This window comes from Homo sapiens, chromosome 17 (assembly GCF_000001405.40).
Source record: "Homo sapiens chromosome 17, GRCh38.p14 Primary Assembly".
Taxonomy (NCBI): domain Eukaryota; kingdom Metazoa; phylum Chordata; class Mammalia; order Primates; family Hominidae; genus Homo; species Homo sapiens.
In genome coordinates this window covers 81730917-81742542 of record NC_000017.11, presented here as the reverse complement: position 1 = coordinate 81742542, position 11626 = coordinate 81730917, and the positions used below count along the sequence as shown (strand labels likewise).

General features: G+C 59.2%; 1 long non-coding RNA gene across 3 annotated transcripts, besides 1 other annotated feature; it reads right to left on the bottom strand.

The window, feature by feature from the left end:
* Positions 1 to 4196: 4196 nt before the first annotated feature.
* On the bottom strand, positions 4197 to 11228 carry LOC105371929 (uncharacterized). Of its 3 annotated transcripts, XR_935049.2 has the most exons (3): positions 8721 to 11228; positions 6688 to 7757; positions 4197 to 4453 (listed from the first exon to the last, which is right to left on the bottom strand). It is a non-coding gene; the product is annotated as an uncharacterized LOC105371929 (long non-coding RNA). The 3 variants fall into 3 exon arrangements; XR_007065948.1 differs by having other exon boundaries at positions 6688 to 11228; XR_007065949.1 differs by having other exon boundaries at positions 7693 to 8974.
* Positions 9915 to 10451: an enhancer, noted in NCBI's record as "H3K27ac-H3K4me1 hESC enhancer chr17:79699122-79699658 (GRCh37/hg19 assembly coordinates)". NCBI's record gives its function as "activates a minimal SCP1, AML or CMV promoter by ChIP-STARR-seq in naive H9 embryonic stem cells {active_cell/tissue: H9 hESC(naive)}" and the evidence as "EXISTENCE:reporter gene assay evidence [ECO:0000049][PMID:30033119]".
* Positions 11229 to 11626: the final 398 nt, after the last annotated feature.

The window sequence follows — 11626 nt, the reverse complement described above, 5'->3', positions numbered from 1 at the left end:
TATTGTGTTTTCTGTGTGTGATGTGTGTGTGGTGTGTGTGCTGTGTGTTTGGGGTGTGTGGTGTGTGTATTTGTGGGGTGTGTGTGGTGTGTGTGGTGTGTGTGTGGTGTGTTATGTATTGTGTGTTTTCTGTGTGTGGTGTGTGTGGTGTGTTTGTGGAGTGTGTGTGGTGTGTGTGTGTGGTGTGTTTGTGGGGGGTGTGTGTGTGGGGGTGTGTGAGGTGTGTGTGAGGTGTGTGTGTGGTGTGTATTGTGTATTTTCTGTGTGTGGTGTGTGTGATGTGTGTGTTTGTGGAGTGTTTGTGGTGTGTATGTGGGGGGGTGTTTGTAGAGGGGGGATGTGTTTGCGGGTGTGTGTGTGTGTGAGGCCCCCGCGTGTCGCTCACTCCTTCAGGGCCTCTTCGGAGCAGCAAGGATGCCAGGGCTCTGGAGGGGCTGCCTCTCCCCCAGAAGGCCTGGCCAGGGCGAGCCTCCAGGGCTGAGGTGCGAGGGGCTCCCGTCCAGGCACACCCAAGACCCAGTGCAGCGAGGTGGGGGAAGGGTGTGTCCCTCTGGCCCGGCTGCAAATCTGATCATGGGCCCCCAGCGACGGTGCCGGGTGCAGGCACTGGGGTAGGCAGCCTCGGAGGCCCCTGGTGACCAGGACTCTCGCTCCAGCCTCTCCGGCCACCTCAACCCTGCACGCAGCAGGTGTTCCCCAATCAGGGCACCAGGATGGACCCTCGGCCGAGATGGGGCTGGTCAGAGACCAGAGTGTGTGTGTGTGTGACCCGGGTGTGGCCGCGCCTGGAGGTCCATCTCTGTGGAAGGCTGGGCTCTCCTCCCCGTTTCACAGATGGGGCGCCCAGGGCTCTGGAGGTGGCTTGCCAGGGAAACCCTCAGACCCCCTGGAGCCGGGTCCTAGGGAAAGTTTGGTGGGCGCTGCCCAGCCTGGCCCTGGCTTGTGGGAAGCAGGCTGGACTGAGGGACTCAAAGTCGTCCTCCCATGGCCGCCCCTCCTCTCCCTGAGTGAGCCCCCCATCCTCCTGCAAAAGGGGAGGTTGTAATGAGGGCACCTGTGTCCCGGCATCTGCCTCGCCAGACACTCTCGCCCTGAGCTACCATCAAGGTCATCAGGCTCTGCGAAGTCACATTAGGCTGCATCTGGCGAGGCTCGATCAAATCAGGCCAGTTGGCGGGATGGTGGAGGTGGACGGGGCCAGGCTCCGATCAGCAACAGGTGCGGGAGCTGCGGGTCCTGGGCAGCGCCGGCGGGGAGGCAGGGGCACAGGGCAGGGAGGAGCAGCGCGATCCCTGGATTCCCCACAGGGTGCGGGGGCAGCAAGGTCTGATGGGGACAGACAAGCCTCAGGCCCGGGGCTGTGAGGGGAGCCTGGGTTGGGGGGGGTGCCCAGAGGGGGCAGGCGTGGGTGCTGAGGGGTGGTCTCAAAGCCCCTGGTGCGGGGTGAGGACCAAGATGTGTCTTGGGTTCCCTGTGGCTTCAAGGAGGGGCTGGGGAGGGAGGCTGGGGGAGGGAGGGGCTGGGAGGGCTGGAGGGGGTCCCGCAGGAAGCCCGGAAGAGGCCAAGCCTGCACTGTGCGGTGGCCCCTGGGACCTCCAGACTGTCCAGGGCCAGGAGCACCACTGGGCTTCCTGCCCCGCGCCTCCCGCCCTGCGTGCCGCTCACGGCCTCAGTGCTCCCCCCGCCAGCGCGGCGGGTGTTTCTCCACCAACTTCCCTGCTGGGCATGGGGTGGTGGCGGCGCACGGCTGTAGGGCTCACCCGGGATGGCCTGGCCTGGACCCAAGTGGACGGGACTCACCACCAAGCCTGGTCTCCCGCGTTTGAGAGGTGCAGGGGTGTCACCGAGACTGAAGGCGAGAAAAAAGCTCAGGGCAGCCGGCAGCAGTTCAGGGCCTCCGGTGAGATCCAGAAGACCCAATCGCGGCGGTGTTCTCTCCTCAGAATGTGTTTATTGAGGTCCTGACCCTCATTTCCTGAGAACGGGGCTGTATTTACAGATATGGCCTTTAAAGAGGGGATTACAGCGAGTCCTGTTCCCACATGACCGCTGGCCTTGTTTTTTTTTTCCTTTGAAATGAAGTCTTGCTCTGTCACCCAGTCTGGAGTGCAGTGTCACGAGCTTGGCTCACTGCAACCTCCACCTCTTGGGTTCAAGTGATTCTTCTGCTTCGCCTCCTGAGCACCTGGGATTACAGGCACCCACCACCACACCCGGCTAATTTTTGTATTTTTTAGTAGAGATGAAGTTTCCCCATGTTGGTCAGGCTGGTCTCGAACTTCTGACCTCAGGTGATCCACCCGTCTCGGCCTCCCAAAGTGATGGGATTACAGGCGTGAGCCACCGCGCCTGGCCCACCCCCACCCCCACCCCCATCCCCCACTTTTTTTATTTTTTGAGACGGAGTCCCACTCTGTCACCCAGGCTAGAGTGCAATGGTGCGATCTTGGCTCACTGCAACCTCCGCCTCCTGGGTTCAAGCGATTCTCCTGCCTCAGCCTCCCGAGTAGCTGGGATTACAGGCGCTGGCCACCACACCTGGCTAATTTTTATATTTTTAGTAGAGACGGGGTTTCACCATGCTGACCAGGCTGGTCTGGAACTCCTGACCTCAGGTGATCCGCCCGTCTTGGCCTCCCAATGTGCTGGGATTATAGGCATGAGCCACCACGCCCGGCCTGAGTCGTGTCCTGAGAAAAAGAGATAAGGGCCAGGCTCAGTGGCTCACACCTGTAATCCCAACACTTTGGAAGGTCGAGGTGGGAGGATGGCTTAAAGCCAGTTGAGCCTGGGCAACATAGTGAGACCCCATCTCTACAACAAAATATAAAAAATTAGTCGGGTGTGGTGACACATGTCTGTGGTCCCAGCTACTTGGGAGGCTGAGGTAGGAGCATCACCTGAGCCTGGGAGGTCTAGGCTGCAGTGAGCTATGATAACACCACTGCACTCCAGCCTGGGTGACAGAGAGAGAGAGACCCTGTCTTCAAAAAAAAAAAAAGAAGAAGCGAAAAGAAAAAGAAGAGAGACTAGGACACAGATACACACAGAGGGATGACTCTGTGTGAGGAGTCAGGAGAAGAGGGCCATCTACAAGCCAGGGAGAAAGGCCTCAGGAGGAACCAACTCTGCAGGCACCTTGGTCTCGAACTTCCAGCCTCCAGGACAGTGGGAGAATGGGCTGCTGTTGGAGCCCTGTTCTATGGCACCTTGTTATAGAAGCCCCGGAAACGAATGCAGCTCCACCACAGCATTGACAGCGAGCCTCATTCCGAAAGCCAGAGTGCAGACGGGGCCAACCCTCGGGCCCAAGCTCTGATCCCAGGGCGGTGGCGTCTGGTCTGCCTCCCGTGTTGAAGTCAGGGCCCCGGTGGCAGCGGGGGGTGGGACGCTATGACCTGGATGCGGTATTTGGGTAGAAGCCTCTTAGATCCCTGCCCTCTGTTCCCTCCGCAGTGGCGGGAGTGGCTCCCACTGCCGGGACCTTGCAAAGGTCTCACCTGAGGCGAGTGTCCTCCTTAGGGTCTGCCTGTCCTCGTCCCCCGCAAAATTCTAGGCCAGTAACTAGGGTGTTCTGTCCCTGCGACTGGAGGGTGTGGGTTATTCTGCAAGGAGCTGCGGCCTGGCAGGACGGGGAGGACGGGTGGAAATGGAGATGGAGGATGCTGGAGGGGAGGGCGGAAGAAGGCCCGCGTGGGGCCTTTATTGATTGAAAGGAGCATTTTCCAAATCCCGGTAAGGATGCCGGGAACCAGGCCGAATCCGCTGCTGGGTCAGCTCCTGGGAGCTTGGGGCAGGTGCACAGGCTGCCTCGGCCCAGTGTCGAGGGAGGGCCGGGAGACGGAGGAACAGGAGTGCTGGGTTGTGTTTTTGAGCTGGGAGGTGCTGGTATTGGAAAAGGACCCGGAGGACACGCTGGTCGCCAGGCGATAAGGAACCACCGGCCCTCAGCATCAAGGAGCTCAGTGTCCCCCTGGGCCAGGGTTGGTGGCAGAAGAGCCTCCCTCGGAACTGGCTCCTAGTATGTCAGGGTGAGGGGACCCCAGAATGGCATCAACAAGGAACGCGTGGCCCATCGACAGGCGGCAAGTCAGGCATGGCTCCCTGGGGCTTGGGCCTCCAGGAGGCGAGGACTTGGTGTCCTAAGGGGCAGGTATTAGCTGTCTACTGCCCGTAACAAATCACCCGACACTCAGTGCCGTAGAAGAGCAGGCATTTATTATCTCCAAGTTTCTGTAGGACAGAAGTCTGGGTCCCCTGCTCAGGGACCTTCACAAGGCTGCAGCCGAGGTGTGGGCCAGGCCCGTGGGCCTCTCAAGGCCCGACTGTGGGGTCCCTTTGCAAGCTCACCCTCCACCGTCTCAGGCCTCGGGTCCCTGACTGCTGGCTGGAGGCCTCAGTTTCTTGCCACGAGGGCTTTTTCTTGGGGCGGCTCAGCACCTGGCAGCCAGCTCTGCTCAGAATGTGTAAGAGAGAGAGAGGAAAACAGAAGCCCAGTGTTGGCGTGACCTCCCCTTGGAAGGACAGCCCGTCACTTTGGCTACAACCTATTCATAGAAGGGAGCCCGCTCCCACCCACACTCCAGGTGGGGGTAACTCACTGGGGCACCAACACAAGTGGGCTCGTGGGGCCACCCTAGAGGCTATGATGGATAGAGGGAGCAATGGATGGGCACACAGGAGTGCCACAAAAGAGACAAGAGTGGGTGACCTGCTGGGCACAGTGGCTCATGCCTGTAATCCCAGGACTCTGGGAGGCCAAGGTGGGTGGATCATCCGAGGTTGAGAGTTCGAGACCAGCCTGACCAACATGGAGAACCCTGTCTCTACTAAAATACAAAATTAGCCAGGTGTGGTGGTGCATGCCTGTAATCCCAGCTACTCGGGAGGCTGAGGCAGGAGAATCACTTGAACTCGGGAGGCAGAGGTTGCAGTGAGCCAAGATTGCGCCATTGCACTCCAGCCTGGGCAACAAGAGCAAAACTCCGTCTCAAAAAATAAATAAATAAAAAAAGAAGAAGAAGAGTGGGTGACTCCTTGCCGACATTCCAGACCTGAGCCTGGTCTCAGGCAGCCACACAAGGAGAGAGGAAACCACACAGGTCACTTGTGAGCTGTGAGTATGGGCCAGGCACAGCGGCTCACACCTGTTATCCCAGCACTTTGGGAAGCCAAAACAGGAGGATTACTTGAGACCAGGGGTTTGAGACCAGCCTGGACAACATAGTGAGACTCTGTCTCTACTACAAAATTTTAAAATTAGGCCAGGTGTGGTGGCTCACACCTGTAATCCCAGCATTTTGGGAGGCCAAGGCAGGCGGATCATGAGGTCAGGAGATGGAGACCATCCTGGCTAACACAGTGAAACCCCATCTCTACTAAAAATACAAAAAATTAGCTGGGCGTGGTGGTGGACGCCTGTAGTCCCAGCTACCCGGGAGGCTGAGGCAGGAGAATGGCAAGAACCTGGGAGGCGGAGCTTGCAATGAGCTGAGATTGAGCCATTGCACTCCAGCCTGGACGACAGAGCGAGACTCTGTCTCAAAAAAATAAAAAATAAAAAATTAGCCAGGTGCAGTGGTATGTGCTTGTGGTCCCAGCTAATTGGGAGGCTGAGGTGGGATGATCGCCTGAGCCTGGGAGGTCAAGGCTGCAGTAAACCGTGATCGTGCCACTGCACTTTAGCCTGGGCAACAGAGAGCGAGACTCCATCTCTAAAAAAGTATTAAACATAGGCCAGGTGCAGTGGCTCACACCTGTAATCCCAGCACTTTGGGAAGCCAAGGCGGGCGGATCACCTGAGGTCAGGAGTTCGAGACCAGCCTGGCCAACATGGTGAAACCCCGTCTCTACTAAAAAGACACAAATTAGCCGGGTGTGGTGGTGGGCGCCTATAATACCAGCTACTCGGGAGGCTGAGGCAGGAGAATCGTGTGAACCCAGGAGACAGAGGTTGCAGTGAGCCGAGATCGTGCCACTGCACTCCAGCCTCGGCGACAGAGTGAGACTCTGTCTAAAAAAAAAAAAAAAGACAAGATGGCAATGCCCATCAATCCTTGTTAAATTCACGGGCACAATTCCCACAAAAAACCAGATGGACCCTGGCAGATGCCATGGACAGCCATAAACTCAGGGGAGCAGCAGCCACACAGCAGCGGCTGAGCCAACTTGCTGTCTTCCCTGGAGTGAGCCACGCAGCGCTGGCCCACAGTAGGTGGAGACGGACCTAGTGAGCATGTTCGTCCCAGCCTGGCTCAGCAGGGCTGGAAGCTGGCATTCACCTGGAGCCCGCTCAGTCTGCAGTCCCTGCCCCGCCCCAGAGTGTGTTAACGCTCCTGCCGTCACCACAATTCTAGTGCTTGAAGAGCCCAAGTATCAGTTGAGATATTATTGGTTGTAAGTCATTGGAAACTCAACTGAAATGGGCTGGAAAGACAAATGGATCACATCACTAGATGATTTGGGGAGCACCCGCAGGAGCAGCTGACTCGGGGGCCGGGCTCCCTCTCCGAAGTTCCCTGTGCTCCGCCCACCGCTGTGTTGGTTTCAGCCCTAGGCAACGGCCACTGTCCTATCATCTGCACCGCCTGCGACTCACACCCCTGGAAGTTAGGAGAGTCTCCCCTCCACCAACCGTCAAACCAAAGTCCCCAGTTGCCAAAGACCAGCTCAGCCCAGGTCACGCACCCTCTGCAGCTCAGCCCGTGTGACTGAGAAGTCCCAGGAGAAGGAAGGGGAAGTGGGTGTCTCCAGGCATCACGAAGCCTGCTCTGCGGGGCTACGTGTGTAGACACAGGCTGGTGGAACGCCTTGCCGGAGAGCAGGGGTGGTTCCAGGGAGGTTCCCAGGTCCCAGCTCCACTCTTGGCTGGAGGAAAGCCTAGGAAGATGCCCTCCCGTCTGCAGGATGGTGCGCGTGACTCAGCAGGGACAGAGCTGCCTTTCCGGGTGCCTGGTCCCACAGGGGAAGCCCCAGAGTCTCCCCGGGGAAGGGACTGCAGTGAGGTGCCAGTAAAGCTCAGACCCCTTGGGAAGCAGTGAGCCTTCCCAGCAGGGTGAGCGTGCCCTCTGCATCACACAGGGAACTCCCCCCAGGAGGTCCTGAGCCTGCAGGAGGGGACGGCGGGCCCTGGGTTCTGCCTGACCCGGACTCGGGGGTGGGTGGATGCCCCTGGAAGGGTGGCCTGCAGAGCCCCCAGTGACCGGGACTCTGGGGACCGCAGGGGCTGGGGCTGAGCTGCAGCCAAGAGACCTGCTGCGGAAGGGGGGACCCCTTGCAGACAGCCCATCACTGCCCTGTTCCTGCCGCCAGGTGTGGCATCGGTGTTGCTCCCGGGTCCGGGCAGTGGTGGCCGCTGCACCAGTTCCATCACTGGGGGCTCTCGGGGTTGGGTGCTGGGATAAAGGCAGGCCCCAAGCTTCTGGGATCATGGGTCTGGAGTTGTCCCTGGAAAATAGAGCTGGACCCCTTTTGTGCCCTGAGGGCGGGTGACCACACATGGTCACAGGGCAGGAGGGTGGATTGCAAGCTGAAGTGGGTTGGAGAGACCCTGGAGGGGTTGGAAGTCCCACGCGGGAGACTCAGCTGAGCCTCCTCTGCACCCTGCCTGCAGCTGCTTCCCCTGCAGTGCCCACCCCCAGAGCCCTGCCAAGTCCCAATGGAGCCCCACAATCATCCCCCAACGTTACTCACCTCAGGCGGCCAGAGTCTCCCCTCCATACTCGAAGCTGCCGGGGTCTCCCTGCTGCAGACTCTCCCTAGCAGGGACCCAGACAGACGGACGCTGGTGGCTGGACAGATGGGCTCCCGGGTCTAGGTTGCCCAGCCCAGCCCAGCCCCTCTGTCTCCAGCGTGGGGTCAGACTCCGGGAAGGATGCTGTGGCCTCCATCCTGTGGTCGGCCTGTCCTTCCAGGCTCAATCAGACGTCACCCCGCAGCCCTCCTGAGTCGCCCGGCCCTGCCGTGCCCTCCCCGAGGGGCTAACGAGGCCTTTGCTCTGGCTCTGGCATCCGCCCATCGGCCCAGTGCCAAGTGGAGTCCACATGGTGCCCGCCCAGCACCGGGTGATGGTGACGGTGACGGTGGTGACTGTGCGGGGCCGTCTGGCCTGTGGAAACCTGATCCTACCCCTGGCCCCGGGGCCGGCTAAGTCCCCAAAAGCCCAAAGCCGGGGTTCTAGTGCTGCTTGGGCCTGGGCTGCCCTCTCACGGAAGCTCTGTGGGCACCTCCTCTGTCAGGCGGCCGCCTGGGCCGGATCTGGACCCCAGAGCTGTGTCATTGCGTATTTGCCAGACCATTCATGTCCCAAGCAAACTGGACAACACCGTCTTTGCCATCTCCCCTGCAGACAGCCTGCAGCAGGCTGGGGTTGGGTGAGGAGGACCCTCCAGCAGGACAGGCCGCCCCCACAAACCGAGCCTGATCACCCTGACCCTGTTTCACCCTGGACAGCCGAGGCCTCCCCCAGGGCTGGCTTGGCATAAAGAAGCCCCCATGCCAGCCCTGCCGGGCAGAACCCCATCTGTCCAGGCTGCACTGGGCGCTGCCACCCTCCTCACCCTGCCTGGCTGGCCATGTCCCAGCCCCATTCCAGCACCAAGCCTTCCTGAGCCGACAGCGCCACATGGCTGCCACCCAGAGGCCACTCAGGGAGTGACAGGCCGCTGGCCAGCCGGGTGGACCATCCACCCCACCGCCTCTGCCGGCTTCTCCTCACTCACCTGTTCACACACTCATTCATTTGCTCAATGATTCATTCATCCATCCTTCACAAGGCTGGGTCCTTGGCAGGCGGGGCACAGAGGAAGAACAGGCCTTGTGGCCGCAGGGACGCAGCCAGAGAAGACACACCCAGCCCTGCTCCCCTCCGGCTTCCTAGTGGGGACACAGCCGATGCCTGTAGTTCTTTTGGATTTTTGGTTTTTCTTGAGACGAAGTCTCACTCTGTCGCCCAGGCCGGAGTGCCCTGGCGTGATCTCGGCTCACTGCAGCCTCCACCTCCTGGGTGCAAGCGATTCTCGTGCCTCAGCCTCCCGAGTAGCTGAGATTACAGGTGCGCGTCATCACAGCCGGCTAATCTTTTGTATTTTTAGTAGAGATGGGGTTTCACCATCTTGGCCAGGCTGGTTTCGAACTCCTGAGCTTAAGTGATCCGCCTGCCTCGGCCTCCCAAAGTGCTGGGATTACAGGCTTGGGCCAATGTGCCCGGCTTAGATGCCTGAAGTTTGTAAAAACAGATAATGTCACAGAGAGGGGAGGTCAGTGGAGGAAGCAAACTGCCCCCTGGATGTGTGGGGGGGCCAGGGCAGACAGGAGGGGCCACGAGGGGCAGGAGGAGGGAAGAGCGTGGGACCCTGAGCAGGGCAAGGGCCAATGGGTGGGAAAGGGGCGGAGATGCACAGAGTGACTTCACATCCACTTCTCGGGTGGAGGGCTGGGGGCCGGGCAGAAGGTAGAGCCTGCATCTTCAGAGACCTCCTGGGCCGCAAGGAGGAGGGGCAACAGGTGAGGATGTGGGTGTGGCCTGGGCAACAGGTGAGGGTATGGTATGGCCTGAGTGGCAGGTGAGGTGTAGCCCTGGCCTGGGTGGCAGATGACATGGCCTGGGAGGAGGGTGGTGGGGCAAGGCGCTCTACACGTCTCTTTCCTGGGTCCACCCGTGCCCCAGCGTTCCCCTGCCCCCCACCCCAGGGCATCCCAGGAGTCTCTGGAATCACGCAGAAGACTCAGGACTCTTCAGCTTTTACAGGCAGCCTCCCGTCCTCTGGAGGCTTCCCAGGGGAGGGGCCGCTGGTGTTACTGGTTGGAAGGTCTCGACTGTGAGTTGTTTAGGTTCTTGTGTGCAGAACAAAGAATTGAACACGCACAAAGAAAGCAACAAAAGAATGAAGTAACGAAAGACAAGACAAGCAAAAAACGGAGTGACGAAAGCACAGATTCATTGAAGACCACAAGGTGCAATTCACAGAGAGGCAGCGGGCGGAGCAGGCGGCCCCAGAGCCTCTATGGCAGTGCTCCCCAGGGTTTTTAGGAAGCCAGGAGAATTTGGTAACACCCCAGGTGCCCTTTAGAGGCCTCCAACTGGTGACTCCTTATGAAGGACTGGCTCACAGCCAATCAGAGGCTGAAGTGGAAACTGTCTTGTTACCATAGGAGTGAGGCCCAGTGTTACCCAGAACCAGCTGCCTTTGCTGTTCTCTTGCTCACGCCTCAACCCTGGGTCACCCCAATTATTCCCTCCTCTCCTGCCTCACTGCGAGAGAACAAATCAGTCAATGCTTCAACCTGTGTCTCACCTGCAGAGAGGCTCCCGAGGCACTCGTCCTTCCCGGCAGCCCTGCCCTCTTGTCTTGCCTGGCCCTGTCTGCGCCCCAGTGCATACCTGAACCCCCATGTTCTCCTTTGTCTCCTGCGTCTGGGCCCATGGGGAGCGCCCGGGCAGCCGGCAGGTTGGGGGGAGGGCGCGATTCTGCTTCAGGCCCCGCGGATTCTCCTCTGCCCCAGCGGGCGCACATTTGGGCACCAAGACTGCACTTCTGCGGGGCACGGATCCGGGGGAGGGCAGGTGTCTCTCTAGGCCTCAAATCCAGGCCAGGAGCAGGGGGCGACTGGGCTGGGAGTGGGGAGCACCGCCTGGAGCACCAGCAGACAATGGGCGTCCTCAGCTGTCACCCCCTCCCTCCATTGTCTACTTGGTTGCCTGGCTGTTTTGTTTTGTTTTGTTTTTTTGAGACGGAGTCTCGCTCTGTCGCCCAGGCTGGAGTGCAATGGCGCGATCTTGGCTCACTGCAACCTCCCGTTCCCAGGTTCAAGCAATTCTCCTGCCTCAGCCTCCCAAGTAGCCAGGATTAAAGGTGCCCGCCACAACACCCAGCTAATTTTTGTATTTTAGCAGAGACGAGGTTACACCATGTTGGTCAGGCTGGTCTCCAACTCCTGACCTCAGATGATCCGCCTGCCTCCGCCTCCCAAAGTGCTGGGATTATAGGCATGAGCCACTGCGCCTGGCTCCTGGGTGTTTTTTTTTAATGGCTTTACTGAGACATAATTCACATACCACACAATTCAGAATGCGTCCAGCTCAGCGAGTTTCTGCATCTTCAGAGCTGTGCAGCCGTCACCGCAGGCAGTTTTAGATCATTTCCTCATCTCAGAAAGAGCCCTCCACCCTCCAGCTCCCGCCCCCTTCCCGCATCCCTCCCTCCCCAGCCCTAAGAGCTGTCTCCACAAAGTCGCTCAGGATGCCCCTGTAAGTGCTGCCACACAGCATCTGTCTGCTTATTTCACACAGCACAGTGCCCAAGGTCCGTCGGTGCTGCCGTGTGGATCAGAACTTCATTCTAAGGCCCAAGAGTCCACTGCATTGGGCACAGGACCCCCTGTGTGACCAACCTCTGTTGATGGACACAGCTGTTTCCGCCTCTCTGTGATTATGGATGTGCTGCTATGCACAGGCGCGCACAATGTTTTATGTAGACTCTTTTTTTTTTTGAGACAGAGTCTCACTCTGTCACCCAAGCTGGAGCGCAGTGGCATGATCTTGGCTCACTGCCACCTCTGCTTCACTGGGCACAAATGATTCTCCAATCTCAGCCTCCAGAATAGCTGGCACCGCAGGCACAAGACA